The following is a 20,467-nucleotide window of genomic DNA, read 5'->3' on the forward strand; positions in this document are numbered from 1 at the left end:
AAGGTTAAAAATCAATAAATTTGATTATATCAAAAATTAAAGTCTTCTGTTTAAAAGGATAGTAAAAACAAGGTTAAAAGATCACTGGCCTTTTGGAAGGTGATGTGTACATGTCAAAGTAAAGGATCTAAGCCAGTTTCGCTTAGTGTTTTATATCACAGGCATTGTAGTTACACACGTAAGGATTGAAACACAGCTCTGCTGCTTGCTGTCTGTATTTGGAAAGAATGATCACTTCATATTGCCACAACTTAGTTTTTACATCTGTAACACAGCTTTGGTAATGATCAGTTAAACTGTAAGATTTTCATGAGTTGTAGTTCTACAAGTCACTTGCTATTCAAATTCAGGAAACAAATTATTATTTTTTCTTTTTTTGGGACACTGTCTCACTCTACCACCCAGGGTGGGTGCAGTGGCACAATCATGGCTCACCACAGCCTCCACCTTCTGAGCCTAAGCAATCCTCCCACTTCAGCCTCCCGAGTAGCTGAGACAACAGGCACGCACCACCATGCTCAGCTAATTTTTTGATTTTTCATAGAGACAGGGTCTCACTTTGTTACTCAAGCTGGTCTTGAACTTCTGGGCTCAAGTGATCCTCTCGCCTTTGCCATCCCAAAGTACTGGGATTACAGGCATGAGCCACTGCTCCTGGACTTGGGAAACCAATAATTTTTTTTTAGATTAAAATTGCTAGATATCTTAAACTCTCACTACTTGCTACCTGAAATTCAGGAACTCAATAAAGACAATAAAGCGATATTCTTTACAATCCATCAAAGCTATCTGAACTCATTATTTGAAATTTGAAATGGAATAGATACAGACAATGATGGTAAAATGTACGTACAAATACACATGGTTGCTGTACTTAAGAATATTGGGAAAATCAGTAGTGGCTTGATATTAGGCTTTATTCAACTAATCAGTAACAGGCCTCATCTTTCTGGAATGAAATAAACTTAATATATGTTTTGGGAAAAGAAATTAATCTAGACCAGCATAATGAGATTTTAAGAGAAAGGAACATATTGTACCACTTTTCGCCAGCACACAAATATCTGCTTATATGGTTTCTCTTACATTTATTTTCATTTTGGTATGATATTTTATTCATAGAATGGTATCCAGATTATTTAACAAATAGAAATCATTTGAGATCTAAACAATACTTTCAAAAATGTCAAATTATTACTTTTATATGTTAAAGTGCTATTTGCTGTCATATTAAAAAGTTACTAAACTTCATGAAATATAGGCTACATTCCAAATATATTTTGCAAGAATACTGTGTATTTTTCAGGATACACATATGAACAATGGTTTTCAGAATAGTTCGTTTTTGTTTTTTCTCTTAGCAGTTTTTAGGAAACCATTTATGAATGATTTAATTCAAACATCTTTTGCTAAGTAAAATTTCCATATATTTTGGAACAATAATTCAAAGAATATGGTATACGAAATGGAGCCTATAAATAAGCATGCCCTAAAATTTGTCATCTTTCCATATTTGAGTGTTAAAATTAGTTGATAAGTAGAGACACTTGCATAGTAGGTGATATGTTTTGATTCTGTCCCCATCCAAATCTCATGTTGAGTTGTAGCTCCCATAATCCCCACATGTTGTGGGAGGGAGCCGGTAGGAGGAAATTGAATAATGGGGGTGGGTTTTTTCCCATGCAGTTCTCATGGTAGTGAATAAGTCTCAAGAGATCTGATTTTATAAAGGGCAATTCCCCTGCACATGCTCTCTTACCTGTCTTTGTTCCTCCTTTACCTTCTGCCGTGATTGTGAGGCCTCCCCAGCCATGTGGAACTGTGAGTCCATTAAAACTCTTTTTCTTTATAAATTACTCAGTCTCAGGTATGTTTTTATTAGCAGTGTGAGAACGGACTAATACAGCAGGTTTTCTAAAGGTGCTGGGCTCTGTGTGTGTGTGTATACACATGCACGTGTGTGTAGGCTATTCTTGAAGCCTCATAAATATTTTGTACATTATGCTATATTGTTAGGAAACTGTCATCATGATGCTTTACGGAGCTTATTTACAGAGTTTATTCTATATCTGGGGTAGCAAAGTCCGTTTCTCTAGAACAGATTTGTAATAATGATAATAATAATATGTGTTAATGTATTCACTGGGTATAACACTTTACATATGTTATATAATTTAATCTTCATGACAAAACTGTTAAGAAAGTAGTATTATCCCCTCTTAACGGATGAGTTAATTGTTTGCAGAGGCTATTAAGTTGATGTCGTTGAAAAGAGTTGGACTATTGACCCAAGTCTGTCTGACAATGAAATTTGATGATGACGGATGCACTTTAACCACAGAACAATATTTCTCCAAGTATGAACCAGGCTACAGATTGTAGTGTACTGGAGCTGGCTCCAACCTGCTCAGGAGATCTGATTATGTGCATATGTTTCTAGCAACCTGTTCAGTGACATTATGTGGAGACCTTGAAATGGGCCCTGGTGAGAGTATTCATATCATGGTAATAGGAAATGCAGCAAATCAGGGTTTTCATGTATCAGGGGAGCCACTTAGTCTGCATACCACTCACTGGCAGAGAATATCCTGCTAGTAGGCTACGAAGTGTCCAAAAAGGTAAATTTTAAAAAATTATTTTGAATATCTCCACAAAATTGTATTTTTACCGACAACATAGGTTTTTTCCTAGATCTAAAACAAATTATTTTAAAAATGTTATTTCACTAGGTGTTCATAATTTTAAAGTGATGCCCTATCAGATCAGTTTACTAATAATTCTAAGTCAGTATTCTGTGAATTCTAGTTGCCATACAGTAATTAGCAAGTCTGTAAAGCACTTTCTCTCTCTGTGTATGTGTATGTGTGTGTTTGGAATTCCTGAAATTTTAAATATTTGCTATCAGTCCATGGTAAGCGTGATCTTGAAATCCTCATTAAAATATTTCTATTTTTGCTTCTTAAATTATGTCATTATTGATTAAATGTAATCATTAAAATGTTTGTTTCTTTGTGGTCTTTGGCTTATTATTTAATGTGTAACAACTCATATATACATCAACAGTGCTTTAGACTTATACTTTTAGATACAATTTTATTTTATATATAACTATTATACTTTATTTTTTTTCACTTACTGGGGCACAATTGACAAAAGTTATACATATTTAAAGTGTAAAACTTGATGTCTTGATATATATATATATTATATATATACATTGTGAAATGATCAAATGGGATGATATTTATCAAAGAATACAAAGTTTCACTTTTGCAAAATGAATCCTTTATTGAGATAAATTAATACAATATTGATTACCAATATATGTTTAGCTTCTTGAATTTAATGACAGAAAGCAACTACTAAGGATTGAATAATTCTTGGAGGGGTTTGCTCGTTGGTTTTGTCAAAATACTGATAAATAAAGCAGAGCAAATGCCCAAAGTTTTCTCTGAAAGGCAATGGCTCCAATGGATTTGGTGAATTTTTACTTGAAAATTGTAATACATTCTAAATGACCAGGTAATTAGAGCTATTCTGAAAAGATCTTAAAAACTACAAAACTGGTTGCATCTTACCAATCTATTCTAATTATTTTTAAAATTCAATGCAAAAAAAGTCAATAATAAATTATCTGACACACATCTAGTATCTGTGTAGTAGACAGCATGGTCCCCCAAAGACATCAGTTTCCTAATCCCTGGAATCTCTGAATATGTCACCTTCCATTACAAAAGGAACTTCATATAGGTAGCTAAGGTTACTGACCTTAAATGGAGGGATTCAACTAGATTATCTGTGTCTTCACAGAAATCCTTAAAAGCAGAGAACCTTCTCTGGCTGGAGTTAGAGAAATGCAACAGAAGGCAAAATCAGAAAGATTGGAAACATAAAAGGGTCTCACCTCTCACTGATGGAGGGGGCCTCATGGAAAGCCTGAGAAGGTATGGGGAACAAGTCTCCAGGAGCAAAGGCAGGCCTCTGGCTGAGAGCTACTAGGAGTGGTGAACTTCGGTTCTACAATCCCACTGAGCTAAACCCAACCACCAACCTGAATGCACTTGGAAGCAGATTCTTCCTCTGAGCTTCCACTAAGGAACTCAGGCCTTGACACCTTGATTTCAGTCAGGTTGGTGAGACTGTAAGCTGAGGATGCACTCAAGCTAGCAGAGTTCTTCTAACCTACAGAAGCTGTGAGGTAGTAAATATGTGCTGGCTTAAACCTTAAACTTAAACCCATGTGAGAAGTTCTTATAACAGTGAAAGGAAATGAATAACCTTGCTTTAGGAAGCAGGCATTGCCATTTACCAGGGTTTAGGAAAGCACTTGGCTAGTAGCATGGATCAGATGCTGCGACTAGGAAGGTGGTTAGGAGTTGCAGCAGAAAACAGAAGATTATAGTGCACTTATTTTCATCACTCAACTGGATGCATTGCCTCTGAATTTTTTGGTGACATTACAACTACAAAGCTAAAAATAAAATCAACTCAAAACTTGCAGTATTATGTGAAAGAGTGCCCTATGTTTTTGATTCATCTATCATAATACTATGCCACCTGTCTCATCCCGAACCTTGGCTGTGAAGTGTAACTTTGATATTCACAATTTTCTGCTGCTATGAAATGTGATAGTAGAAATGTTGCAAAATTATTTTTTTTTTAATACTACCAGTTTCCAACAATATGTGTTCCAACTCAGATCTCACTACTGAATTGCTCCCTTAGCGGAACTTCTCTGGAGAGATTGTTTTTTATTTGAATAAATACTTGAAGAAAGCTTTATGGAATTAGATTTAAATGTTTCTTGTCAGATATCTGTAAAAGACTGTTATTCATTTGAACATTTTAGTACTTTGAAAAAATGTGTTATATCCGAAACACATATGGAAGTATCGATAGTTTGCTAAATTCTGTGAAAAACACTCCTTCACTCCCTTTTTTTTGCCTTAATTTCCTCTAGATTTTCCATATCTCTTCACATATATCATTCACTGATTTTCTTCCCCAGCCATGTTTTAGTAAAGTGTACTCTTTTAAATGAAACAGTCACCTGTCCTTGTCGTTAAATGGTATCCTGTCCTAAGAATTTAAAGACCTCTGAGTAGCACACCAGAAAGGTTAACGGCAAATGAAATGGTGCATTTCAATGTTACTGTGGACTTCATTAAAATTTAGTATTCATTATTGGTCTTTTCTAAGATCACGAGTTCTATTGAATCATTTGATTTTGTCCTTGTAGTATCGTTAATAAGTCAGAAAACTTTATTTCAAACACTTCTTTTAAGCATCTTTCAGCATCATGCTAATTACCCAACACCTCCCAAGTGTCAAAGAAGAAAACTTTTACAAGAGGCAGAGTTGATTCATCAGAATGAATCTTGTCTGTTTTCAATACAGTTTCATGAGTGGATGCAATCTCCATTTATGTTCAAAAATCCTATACTCTAACCACTTTTCTTATTAAAATGACTTAATTTGCTTATTTGACATAGTAAGTATTTTCATCACGTTTTTAAAATAATACATGTTCATTACAAAAAATTTGAAATATAGAAAATTAAAAATTGAAAATAAAATCTGTGCATTATTATCTCTGTACCAGAGACAACTTCTGTTATCATTTTGATATATTTGTCTCTGGTAGTTATACATAACTAAGATTTTACTGTGTAGACAGGTTTTCAGTCTCTTTTCTTTTTAATATTTATTTCTTTATATTTAGAGACAGCGCCTCATTATGTTGCCCAGGCTGGCCTCAAACTCCTCAAGTAATCTTCCCAAGTAGCTGGGACTACAGGTGTAAGCCACCATGCTTGGCTCTTAATCTCTTTTCTTTTGCTTAACAATATATTATGCATATTTTCTCTTTTCCTTAATAAGTCTCTCAAAGTAGAATTTTTGGCTGGGCATGGTGGCTCATGCCTATAATCCTAGCACTTTGGGAGGCTAAGGTGGGAAAATCGCTTGAAGCCGGGAGTTCAAGACCAGCCTGAGCAACATAGTGAGACTCCATCACTACAAAAATTTTAAAAAGAGCTAGGCATGGTGACATGTGCCTATATTCTTAACTACTCTAGAGGTGGAGTCAGCAGGATTGCTGCAGCCTAGGGAGTTCAAAATTGCAGTGAGCTAGGATTGCACCACCGTGCTACAGCCTGGCCCATAGACCTATAACCAATCTTAAAATAAATAAATAATAATAAATAAAATTGTAAACACTACCATATAGATGTAGCACAATTCATTTAACCATTTTTTCTATTATTCAATTCATCATTATCAAAGATATGCTACTATAACTAAAATTAAAACACAAAGTTTTTACATGTAAATTTTCCTACAGTCCTTGATAGAATCCTAGATGTAAAATTATTAGGCCAAAGTTTGTGATCCTTATGAAAGTTCTTGTTGCATACAACCAATTGCTTCTCAAACTCTAGGAGATAGTGTCACATGATTACTTCTCCATAATTAATTTTATTTATTAAAAAAATAATTTATTATTTTTAATTTTTTTTGAGACAGGGTCTTGCTCTGTCCCACCAGGCTGGAGTGCAGTGGCATGATCACTGCTTACTGCAACTTTGACCTCCTGGGCTCAAGTGATTCTCCCATCTCAGCCACCGGAATAGCTGGGATTCCAAGGGTACACCACCACATCTAGCTAATTAAAAAAAAAAATTGTAGAGATGAAGTCTCTCTATGTTATGCAAGCTGGTCTCAAATTCTTGAGATCAAGAGATCCTCCTGCTTCACCCTCCCAAAGTGCTAGGATTACAGGCATGAGCCACTGCACCTGGTCTCCTCTCCATAGTTTAATATTATTCACTTCTGCCAATTTGATAGGTGATACATAGTATTCCATTATTTTAATGTGTTGCTTTGATTTCTAGTAAGACCACGTTTCAATTTATGATTCATTATCTTTAAAACAGTTGATGATAATATTGCTTACATTTATCTGACAGATATATTAAAATGATTAAATTGATCTTCACTGTAATAGGTCTTCATGACCCCCTTGGCTTCTCCAGCACTGTAATTTTTGCACTAGATGTGTCATCCTCTGCTTATTGTCTCTGTTTGTCATGAAACTATACTGATATACAGTTTAAAGCATGGACCATGGCAGTTTTTGCTCATCCAGGTTAACTCTGTTCATAGGTTTTCTTTAAGATAAATAAATAAATAGTTTACAAATGCTCATGGTTCTTACAATAACCTACAGATAAATGTTAGTTACTATTTGATAAAGAATAGCCAGAATATAGAGAAAGAGTAGACTGAATCCTTTGCATTTAAATTTTTGCAAGAGCGTAACACCAATTAAATATATTTAAGACTTTTCAATAGTCTTGGACAGGGTCCATGCAAACAAGAAGGCTCTGGATTTTAAGCTTTATTTGTTTCATGATAAATCCACTCTGCACTCACTATCATACAGTGAGTGCAAAGCAACTCACTATTGCAAAGCAAAGTCCCTGGCACGTTTGAGAATCGTGAAAACCACAGGAAAACCTAATTGGTTAGCATATTCAGAGACATTTCCTCTAAAGAGGTGACATTTAGGTTGAGAACCGAAGAATGAAGGAAAAAGACAAAGGAAGCTTATTCCCATAAGTAGAAATAACGCTAGCAAAAGGCACCACTCAGAAATGAAATTCGTAACTTATGGTAAGAGTGAAAAAACATTTAAAATGGATGAGGTAAAGCAATAGTGAAGCCATGCATGTTGTTATAGGACAAGTAAAGACCATGAATTTTGTCCAAGTAAGCCATCGAGTAGTGTTATGTAAGGCAGTGACAATATGATATGCATTTTATAAAGACAACTCGGGGACCAGGCAAGATGGCCGAATAGGAGCAGCTCCAGTCTGCAGTTCCCAGCAAGACCAATGCAGAAGGCAGGTGATTTCTGCACTTCCAACTGAGGTACCCGGTTCATCTCACTGGGACTACTTAGACAGAGGGTGCAGCCCATGGAAGGTGAGCCAAAGCAGGGTGAGGCATAGCCTCAACTGGGAAGCACAAGGGGTCAGAGAATTCCCTCCCCTAACCAAGGGAAGCCATGAGGGACTGTGCCATGAAGGACAGTGCTATCTGGCCCAGATACTATGCTTTTCCCAGACAATACATTTTTCCCACAGTCTTCGCAACCTGCGAACTGGTTTGCAACCTGCGAACTGGTTTGCAACCTGCAAACCAGGAGATTCCCTTGGGTGCCTACACCACCAGGGCCCTGGGTTTCAAGCACAAAACGGGGTGGCCATTTGGGCAGACACCGAGCTAGCTGCAGGAGTTTTGTTTTGTTTTTTTTCATACCCCAGTGGCAGACCTGAAATGCCAGTGAGACAGAACCATTCACTCCCTGGAAAGGCAACTGAAGCCAGGGAGCAGAGTGGTCTTGCTTAGTGGATCCCACCCCCACTGAGTCCAACAAGATAAGATCTACTGGCTTGAAATTCTCACTGCCAGCACAGCAGTCTGAAGTCGACCTGGGATGGTTGAGCTTGGTTAGGGGAGGAGCATCCACCATTACTGAGGCTTGAGTAGGCGGTTTTCCCCTCAGGGTGTAAACAAAGACACTGGGAAGTTGGAACTGGGTGCAGAACCCACTGCAGTGCAGCAAAGCCGCTGTAGCCAGACTGCCTCTCTAGACTCCTCCTTTCTGGGCAGGGCACCTCTGAAAGAAAGGCAGCAGCCCCAGTCAGGGGCTTATAGATAAAACTCCCATCTCCCTGGGACAGAGTTCATCGGGGAAGGGGCAGCTGTGGGTGCAGCTTCAGCAGACTTAAACATTCCTGGCTGTAAGCTCTGAAGACAGCAGTGGATCTCTCAGCACAGTGCTCGAGCTCTGCTAAGGGTCAGACTGCCTCCTGAAGTGGGTCCCTACTTCCCTGCCTCCTGACTGGGAGACACCTCCCAGCAGGGTTCGACAGACACTTCATACTGGAGAGCTCTGGCTGGCATCTGGCAGGTGCCCCTCTGGGACGAACCTTCCAGAGGAAGGGGCAGGCAGCAATCTTTACTGTTCTGCAGCCTCTGCTAGTGATACGCAGGCAAACAGGGTCTGGAGTGGACCTCCAGCAAACTCCAGCAGACTTGCAGAAAAGGGGTCTACTAGAAGGAAAACTAACAAACAGAAAGCAGTAACATCAACATCAACAAAAAGGATGCCCATGCAAAAACTCCATCCAAAGGTCACCAACATCAAACACCAAAGGTAGATAAATCCAGAAAGATGAGATAAAACCAACTCAAAAAGGCCGAAAATTCCAAAAACCAGAATGCCTCTTCTTCTCCAAAGGATCACAACTCCTTGCCAGCAAGGGAACAAAACTGGACAGAGAATGAGTTTGATGAATTGATAGAAGTAGGCTTCAGAAGGTAGGTAATAACAAACTCCTCTGAGCTAAAGGAGCATGTTCTAACCCAATGCAAAAAAGCTAAGAACCTTGATAAAAGGTTACAGGAACTGCTAACTAGAATAATCGGTTTAGAGAAGAACATAAATGATCTGATGAAGCTGAAAAATGCAGCAAGGGAACTTCGTGAAGCACACACAAGTATCAATAGCTGAATTGATCAAGTGGAAGAAAGTATATCAGAGATTGAAGACCAACTTGATGAAATAAAGTGTGAAGATAAGATTAGAGAAAAAAAATGAAAAGGAAAGAACAAAGCCTCCAAGAAATATGGGACTATCTGAAAAGACCAAACCTACATTTGATTGGTGTACCTGAAAGTGACGGGGAGAAGAACCAAGTTGGAAAACACACTTCAGGATATTATCCAGGAGAACTTTCCCAACCTAGCAAGACAGACCAGATATAATTTGATATTATCCAGAATATTCAAATTCAGGAAATACAGAGAACACCACAAAGATACTCCTCAAAAAGAGCATCTCCAAGCCACATAATCGTCAAATTCACCAAGGTTGAAATGAAGGAAAAAATGTTAAGGGTAGCCAAACAGAAAGGTCGGGTTACTGGCAAACGGAAGCTCATCAGACTAACAGCGGATCTCTCTGCAGAAACCCTACAAGCCAGAAGAGATTGGGGACAAATATTCAGCATTCTTAAAGAAAAGAGTTTTCAATCCAGAATTTTCGATCTCTCCATCTGACAAAGGGCTAATATCCAGAATCTACAAGGAACTTAAACAAATTTACAAGAAAAAAACAAACACCCCCATCAAAAAGTGTGCAAAGAACATGAACAGACACTTCTTAAAAGAAGACATTTATGTGGCCAACAAACATATGAAAAAAAGCTCATAATCCCTGATCATTAGAGAAATGCAAATCAAAACCACAATGAGATAACAACTCATGCCAGTTAGAATGGTGATCATTAACAAGTCAGGAAACAACAGATGCTGGAGAAGATGTGGAGAAATAGGAACACTTTCACACTGTTGATGGGAGTGTAAATTAGTTCAACCATTGGGAAAGACAGTGTGGTGATTCCTTAAGGATCTAGAACCATAAATACCATTTGACCCAGCAATCCCATTACTGGGTATATACACAAAGGATTTTAAATCATTCTACTATAAAGACACATGCACAAGTATGTTTATTGCGGCACTATTCACAATAGCAAAAACTTGCAACCAACCCAAATGCCCATCAGTGCTAGACTGGATAAAGAAAGTGTGGCACATATACACCATGGAATACTATGCAGCCATAAAAAGGATGAGTTCATGTCCTTTGCAGGGACATGGATGAAACTGGAAACTATCATTCTCAGCAAACTAACACAGGAACAGAAAACCAAACACTGCATGTTCTCACTCATAAATCAGAGTTGAACAATAACATATGGACACAGAGAGGGGAACATCACACTGGGGCCTATTGGGAGTGGAGGGCAAGAGGAGGGATAGCATTAGGAGAAATACCTAATGTAGATGATAGGTTGATGGGTGCAGCAAACCACGATGGCACATGTATACCTATATAAGAAACCTGCCTGTTCTGCACATGTATCCCAGAACTTAAAGTATAATAAAAAAGTAAGTAAAAATAAATAAAGACAACTCTGGCTGTTTCATTTAAAATAACACAGGTGTGGGAGCCGAGGCAGATGGATCACTTGAGGTGAGGAGCTCGAGACTGGCCCGGCCAACACGGTGAAACCCCATCTCTACTAAAAATACAAAAAATTAGCAGGGCGTGGTGGCACGCGCCTGTAATCCTAGCTACTCAGGAGTCTGAGGAAGGAGAATCGCTTGAACCTGGGAGGTGTAGGTTGCAATGGTCTGAGATCATGCCACTGCACTCCAGCCTGGGCAACAGAGCGATATTCTGTTTCAAAAACAAAAAACAAACAACAACAACAACAATAATACACAGGTAAGAAAGCAAGGGCTGCAGCTATTGCAATAGTACACTTGGAAATAATGACATTCAGGGGAAAGGTTGTGGAGGTTTATAGGAACATTTATTTATTTAACACTAATTTTTCAGTATATACCTATAACTGCATGATCCCTCTATATCAAGGGATGGGATATAATTGAGGGCATTATATTTATTCTCTAACCCCACAAACATATTTTAGTAGGAAAGAAAATATTTTAAGCAAGTAAAACCATTGCATAAAATAGTTAAAATGTGTGATTCATTTTATTATGGCAATAATAAAGTGTACTGAGGAAGACTGGTCAAGAAGCAACTATGGAGTCAGGGAAATATTTTATTAAGGGAATAATAAAGTGTACTGATGAAGACTGGTCAAGAAGCAGCTACGGAGTCAGGAGAACATTCCAGGCAGAAGAAGCAGCATGTGCAGAGACCCTGTGCCAAATGAGCTTGGCACATTCTAGAACTCCTGGAGAGATGATAGTAAGGCAGAGTGAGACTAGATCTTAGTGAGTGAGATTAAAGGGCAGGTACTGAGGTGAAAGGCAGGTGGGTACCAAATCACGTGGGTCTTTTAAGCCATGGTAAGGGGTTTGCTCTAAACACAATTGAAACCATTCCTAGGAATTCCTAAGAGGGGTCACTCCTTAGAGATGTGTGGATCGAATTTAAGGGTCTTTTATGATTCAAATGTTTGTTCCCTCTGAACCTCGGGTTGTGACTTAATCCCTCATGTGACAGCAATAACAGGGGAGGTTTTGAAGAGGTCAATAGATCATTAAGAAAGATTAATGTCTTTCTCGTGAGACTTGATGAGTTCTCATGGGACTGGGCTAGTTACTGTGAGGGCAAGTTGTTACCAAGTGAGGCTGCCTCTCCTGTGTACTATTTTTGCACCTGTCTGGTTCTCCTCCTACTTCTCTAGCATGTTATGCCACAGGACAAGGCCCTCACCAGAAGCCAACCAGGTATGGCCCATTGATCTTGGACTTTCCAGCCTCCAGGAATGTGAGCCAAGATAAACATTGTTTCTCATAAATTACCCAGTCTCAGGTAATCTGTTATAGCTACAAAACAAAACAAAAAAAAAGGACTAAGCGTTCTTAACTTGAATGAGTCTACATTGCATCTTTTTTTTTCCCACTCATAATAAAATTTACCAAATAACTATCATATTTGAATAGCCTGTGACTTTGTCATCAAAAGAAATCAGAGATATTTTCATGGCACTTTATAGTTGTTGCAGACATCTCAACATTTATGTTATCAGCACTATGTAAGTAGAATAGTTTTAACATTCCATCAAATTTTATTGTTTAATGCATTAAAGGAATTTCTTATATTATTATCTCACAAATTAGTTTAAAAAATAGTTTGATAAATGTACTTCAGCAATTTTATTTGTAATACTATGTATGTCATTTTATGTAGTTAAAACCATTAGTCTGAGAAGGGGCTCATAGGCTTCCCCAGACTGTAAAGCAGGCCTACAGCATGAAACAATCAATCAAAACCTATTAAGAGCCTCTTGTTTTAAGAGCATTGTTTTAAGCAAGGGAGTGACACTTAAATCAGATTTAAGGCTTATAAACCAATTTTGTTTCTATGTGGAGTATAGATTGCATCTATTTGGAAGGAAATGGTGATATCAGTTGGGAAACTAACAAACCGGCTGGTTTTAGGATAAGGTTAGTGAAAATACAAAGAGTTGGACAGAATTGAGATGCTGGAATTGGTTGGGGAGAAGTGAGAAAAAGATAGGACTTAAGTTGACTCAAGGTTTAACATTTATTAAATAAATGAATACTCACAATGCTTGCTTTGAAAGGGAAGTTCAAGGAGAGAAAATTCCAAGACTTGTGAAAAATTCCAAGAGCACCTTCACTCTGAGATGCTGTTTGAGATTTTATCAGTCATCTAAGTGAAGATATCAAGGAGAAATTAATTATAAGAGGAGGCAAAATTGATAATACAACTAAATGTAAGAGTTAAACGTATATAAGTAATTTTGGAGAAAACAAATGAGTACTGCACAGATTTCTTAGCTATAGCTCCAAAATGACAAGCAAAGAAGAAAAAAATAAGACCAACAAATTTAAAAACTTTTGTTTTTCAAAGGCACCATTAATAAAGTGAAATGATAAGCCGTACACTGGGAAAAAAAAGTATTTGCAACTTATAGACCTGAAAAGAGAGATTTTTAAAACTCTTACAACACAGTAATAAGAAAATAATATTTTAATAATGAACAAAAGTTAACCCTAGTACTTTGAGAGGCTAAGGTGGGAGGATCACTTGAGACCAGGGCCTTAAAATCAGCCTAGGCAACAGACAGATTGAAACCCCATCTGGAAAAAAAAAAAAAAAAAGAAAAGAAAAAATAACATTAAAAATGAGCAAAAGAGTTTAATAGACATTCATCAAAGAATTTACACAAATGGCCCATAAGCATACTCAAAATCATTAGTTTCTAAAAAATGGAAATTAAAGCCATAATGAGGTATTCCTTCACACCCACAAGAATGACTAAAAAGAAAAAAAGAAAGGCAAGAACATGGGTTGAAAAGTATGTGGAGAAATTAAAATCCTCAAACATTGCTGGTGAGAATGTAGAATGGTGAAGTCACTTTGTAAAATAGTTGGGCAGCTTCTTTAAATGTTAAACATAGAGTTACCACATGATCCAACATCTCCACCCCCAGGCATATACCTGCGAGAAATGAGAACATATGTACATGCTTCTTGGCAAATACTCATAGCAACACTACCCATCATGGCCAAAAGAGGGAGAAAATATCCAATAGTTGGTAAATGGATAAACAAAATGTAGTGTATGCATACAATATAATATTATTGACAGTAAAAAGAAAGAAGTACTCTTAAGTGTTATAATTTGGATTAACCTAGAAAACATTATGGTGTGTAAAAGAAGCCACTTACAAAATACCATATATTGTCTGATTCCACTTATATAAAATGCCCCCAAAAAGTAAATCAATTGAGAAATAAAGTAAAATTGCTGCCTTGGCTGCACAAAGGAATGGGGAGAGACTGCAAATGGTCATATTTTTTTATGGGGGTGATGTAAAGGTTCTAAAATCAAATGGTGGTAATAGCTTCACAACTCTGGAAACATACTAAAAGTCATTGAAATGTACATTTAAATGTAGTGAATTCCATGGTATTCAAATGATGCCACAGTCAATCTGTAAAAAGAAAAACAATTACATGAGTAGAAATCCAGCTCTGGGCTGAATATCTCAAAGTGAAAATGTCAGCATGTAATGATCTATCAGTCAGAATCCAGTCAGGAAAGTGGAAACATTATTTGAACTTTCAAACACAGGAAAACTAATAGGTTTCATAGGTAACAGGGGAGCTTGAATAAATGGTTTCCTCCTGGTGGTACTGATGTAAATGAGGTTGATTCTGGGAATGACCACAGTTTTCTGAAGAAGAGGGCAAACTGAACTGCTAGTTTGATGTGACCAGGACAACAAAACTACCTCTTATCTTCTAATTTTCCTTTTAGGCAGACCAACAAATAGGCAGATCAAGGAGCTGTCTGACAAAGGAGCCTAAGACCTACTGTTTGCAGAGTTCCAGGCCTGTATGACAGAGCAAAATATAGAAGAGTAGGAGCTGAGACACAATAGGTGAGTAACCTACTTACGTAGTTATTTAAAAGGGAAAGTGCTCAAAATACTAAACATTTCAAGGTCAGGTAAAAAAGTAGGCCTAGAAAAGTAAACTCTAAGCATGAAAACTTATGGTTTCATTGAAGTCAGAAAGGAACTGATAGATGTCTCCAATGAAGCCGAGAGGACAAGCTGGAAGAGGGGAAGAGAAGAATACATGGATTTGGCCACATGCAGAGTAGAGGTAACTTTACTAAGGCCAACTTCAGTGGAATGCTAGGACGTTGACAAATACTAGGTGGGATGAAAGAACAAATTGGAGCGAACATTGTGACTCTCACTCCCTCTGAGAGTCAATTTGACTGTGCCACAGGGTGCCCAGACATTTGCTTAAACATCATTCTGGGTGTGTCTGAGAGTGTGTTTCTGGATAACATTAACATTGAGTCTGGAGACTGATTAAAGCAAATTACCCTTTCCAGAGTGGGTGGGCCTCATCCAATCCTTGAAGGCCTGAATAGGACAAGAAAGAACAAGAGGCGAGATAACAAAGAATTGTCACTCTGTGCCAGGCTGTCTTCCATCTGGGACATCTGCCTTCTCTTGCCTTCCGACTCAACTTGGACTGGAATCTACACCATTGGTTGTCCTGTTTCTGAAGCCTTCGGGGTTGGACTGGAACTATGCCATCTGCTGCCTTGCTGGGTGTTCAGTCTGCCCGTTGCAAATCCTGAGATTTCTCAGCCTCCATAGTCATGTGAGCCAATTCCTTATTATCTGCCTATCTATCATCTATCATCTATCTCTAAGCTATTCGTTCTGTTTTCCTAAAGAATCTTGACTAGAACACTCTCTGATTTCTATAACTGAGTAAGCTTGAGTATCAAGAGATATCGTTACAAGGTAGGAATTCATCAGGACTTATTTTCTGAGCATAGGTTGACCCTGGCTGCAACCCTGCTAATTAAAGCAAGTTCTTGTTGAAACAGGTAGCAGTGAAAAAGCCAGCTGAAACCAGCAGATGGCGATGAAAGCAAGTTCTAGTTGCCCTCACTCATTAGCATAAAGACACTCCCACTGGTGCCATGACAGTTTATAAATGCCATGGCAATGGGCCTTGGCAATGACCAGAAAGTTACCTTATATGGTCCTGGAAATACCTCTAAAGTTCTGGAAACATTTTTCCAGAAAGTTCTGCATGGCCCACTGAATATAGTTGGCAGCTGTATTTATACCCACCTTTAATTATATTAATTATATATTTTATATTTATATATAATATATACTTATTTATAATATATAATATATAATATATGATATATTATACTTATATATTATATATTATATAACTATATATTAATTATATGCTAATTAATGTAATATAATGTGGGTATAAATTATAATTGATATAATTAATATATTTAAATATATTTAAATAATTTAAATAATATAATTAAATGTGGGTATAAATACAACTGCCAACTATATTCAGTGGGCCATGCAGAACTACTTCAACGATTCTCTTTCTTCTTTTCTCTTTCCTCTTAATTATATGCTAATTAATATAATTAAATGTGGGTATAAATACAGTGAACCACAACCCATATACTGCTGCTCTGGGCACAGCCGCCATGGGGTAGACCTACTCCATGAGGGGCAATACCTCTGCTGCTACTGTACATTGCTGCTACAGTGAAATTGCTGCCACCGCCAGCCTGCCCTTGGATTATTTCCTAGGTGAAGACAAAAACCCTCCCAGATTAAGCCTCAGTTTAGGGGTTCACCTGCCCTCCATCAGTTAGACTTTGTAGAGGTAAGAGAATCGTTGAAGTAGTTAAAAGTATATACGAGGTGGAAGGAGTTTTTATTTAGTATTAACATAATAATAATGGCTGATGTTTACTGTCAATTTTCTAAGCTCCAGACACTGTACTAAGTATTTTTCCGTGCACTGACACATTTGAATCTCACTACAATCCTATGACTTAGATACTGCTATCATTATTTTACTGCTGAGGAAACTGAGGCATAAAGTGATTGTCACTTGCCTAGCCCTTGAGGCTAGAAGAGGCACTTTCTCTGTGGAAACTGAGTGGAGAAGATGGGGGCCCTGAGGCAGTTAAAAATCAGGAGAAAAATCTTACGTTCATTTACAAAATTGCCATTTCTTTGAGAAAGACGCTATTTTAATTTTTAACCCCAATGTTCTCATTGTTTCTCATATGAACCTTCTACTCAAGCCTGAAATATTCCAATATCTGTAGCTCTGTTTACAGTATGACTTGTTTCATCTTCTTGTCATTTTCTAGGGTTTAACCTCAATCTCATCTTCACAAACCTTGAACCACCAGGCTCAGGGAGACTCCTCTGTTCTCTGAAGCTTTTCTATCCACAGGGCCACAATGTTGCACCATTTTACCACTGATTTGATCGGTTTTCTTTTGTTACCCTTTTGCCATTTTGTTTTGTTTTGTTTTTTAAAGAAGATACTAGAAAATTATTTCTCTGAATACTTGGCAAACAATATTTTTCCTTTGATTGATTAGAAATCATGACAAATCTATTCTAAAAAGCATATAGTTTAACTGGACATTTTTAAGTGGCCTGCATCTGCTGAATTTGTTTTGTAGTTACAGTGACCATATTACAGAATAAAATTGGCACATATAGCTAAAAAATAACAGTATAGTTGGAAGGATAATGGGACGTATTCAGAGCAGCATAGTTTCTATAGTTAATACCTGCACCTACAACTTACATAGCACAAAACTTTATTTCCAGAATGTGAATATAAAAATTGTACAGTGATAATGATCTCTCTATATACCATTAAACTTCAAATTTCATGTCTAATATGTTACTTAATATTTCTTTTTTCTGCTTATTGATTTATTACACCTAAATATTTTAATTTAATTTATTTATCCTATGTCTCTTTCTAAAACATATTTGAGCTCACTTATTACAAAATGCTAGTTTTTTTAAAACGGGACAAGAAAAACAAGCTACCTAAAAGTAATACTTATTTATTTTCATAAGCCAAGTTAAAAATCTGTTTCTGAATTTCCATGGTACTAACCAGTAAGAAAAACATGACAATGTATATGCTCCCTGCTCTAGGATAAAGGAAAGCATATCATAATTAATAGGTATGAAAATAAAGAATGTTGAGGGATGTAATATACATGATCTTCAGCAGTTTCATAGCATACATAGAAACACTGAACATGCAATGTGAAACTTCTAAAAAGGAAAGTAACTGATTTTGAGAAAGTTTTGAGTCAGTTAACATTTTATAAAATATTTATATTAAGAAATATTTTTCCTCATTATTAAATTTGGGAAAGGAAGAAAATGAAATGGACTTTTAAGTTTTCATGGTTTTCTTTAATGTGAAAATACAGCCCTTTCAAAAAGCACAATTTTCACTTTGTTTAGACCAATGTAATTTACTCTAAGTATTTGCTTGGGAGGTGTATATTGATTTTGTGACTGATCTTATTCCTTCTTCATTAAATGCGCTCAAGTCAGGAAAAGGGGTGATGACGATGATGAAGAAGAAAATACAGTGAAGAGAGGTGTAATTTACAATGCTTCCCTCTTTCCTCACTAAAAAAAATATAATATTATGTCTCAATTTAGAGTACAATTCTCATAGATTTCTTCTTTAACACTGAGGTTTCTAGACTACTGTAGATAATGCTGAAGATTTCTTTGGGAGAAAAAAAATTAGGATTAAATTTTTCTGCTGAAATACCAGCTCCTGTCTGGTCCTCTCTTCTTCTCTCGGGAAAGTAGCTGGCACTAGTTGCTACATCAAAAGTACAAGTTGTACCTAGCTCTTTCAGTCACTCAGGACAGAAATACTGAGTAGCATATTAATCACCCAGGTGATTAAATGTCATGATGCTTTCACCCACCAATAGATTGTTCTTGAAAAAGGAAAAGAGTGCTGTTTGATGATGATCATGGCTGATGACGCAATGCAGCATTTACGGCATTGGTTCTGAGCCTTGGAAAAGCCTAGCGTAACAACTTCTTAGATTGTTGGTGTGTGTTCCATAGTTTCCTTATTAACAGAACTCCATTTGCAACACTTGCCTCCTCCACCATCACCAGTGCTATGAAACATATTCTTTACTACACAGTGCTAATATGAAGATAACTTGAGAGTGGAAATCCCAACTAATCCAAGCATGTACTTACTTGAACTGTTTCCCAAGATACATGAGGGGCAGTGTAGTTGGGTAGCCCAGTAGGAGTCTCTGCCACCTGGGTGGATGCCTGGGTTGAAATCTCACCACCACTCTCTAGTTACTCCTGCCCCAGAGCAAGGCATTAGTGACTTAATTCCTTCATCATTGAAGCAGAGGTAAAAATAGAAACCTATCTAATAGGGATTTTGCATGTCTTAAATAGGTTAACAAATTGTGCCTGAGAAAGTGTAAGCTTTTCATTAATGACTATAGCATTTGTACTATGCATAGTGGACATAAACATAGAAAGCTGTTCCTGAATTCTGGGAATATGTATCAATTCAAAGGAAAGGAATGTATTTCCTGATAGGACCTGGGCCGTATCAGGTTCTAGGGATGTCGTAATGCTTTAGTTTACCAAGGTTCTTTCTTACTTAGATTTGATAAATTTCCTGACACTGTAGTCTGCCCTTTTACAAGTGATAACACATTTCCTAATTTCCTGTGGTTTCTTAAAGATATCAAAGAATAATAGAGTTTCCTTGTGGTGTGAGATTTTGCTCCTAATAGATGGCATTTATAGGACAAGGGTAGAGAAAAATATAACCAGATAGTTGTTGTGAGACATATAGGGTTAAGCTTCATTGAATTCACAAAATCAAGCATCTTTCTGTGATAGATTAGTTTGTTTGCTTTTGTAATTTTCAGTTATTAGTGTAAAAAGTATGTCATTAGGGGAAAGAATGATTTATGATGATAATAAGCAGAGTAATTAATATGCATACATAGCATAAAGTAAATATTTGAGGTCTTACTATCTCAATCAAGCTTAAGGAAACAAAACCTCATAGTCATTTAACCAGTCTCATCTATACCTCTGATTAGTGCCAAATGATACATTGCAACAAAAATATTTAAGTATTAAATTTAGAATTTGGAAAAATATTGAGTCTAAATTGCTAAATATTTAAGAGAGTGTTTTTCCTCTTTTCAAATCTGTCTTATTTCTTATTTTGAGGCATATGAAAAATGAAAGAAGGTTGCTAACTTTACTGAATTCTTTCAAAGGTTTTTACAAGAGGAAATGCAAAAGCCTTTGTGAATTGAAATGTTTAGCTCAGCAATTTAAAATCTTTTGTCTGGGCTTGTAGGTGTAGGTTACAGTGCTGGCTTTGAAAGGGTAGAAATAAAGTTTTCTTTTATTCAGCAGCTATTTTACTTTTTGACACCAGATTTAAATGAATTTAAAACTGCCCCACGAG

This window comes from Homo sapiens, chromosome 18 (genome assembly GCF_000001405.40).
Source record: "Homo sapiens chromosome 18, GRCh38.p14 Primary Assembly".
NCBI lineage: Eukaryota > Metazoa > Chordata > Mammalia > Primates > Hominidae > Homo > Homo sapiens.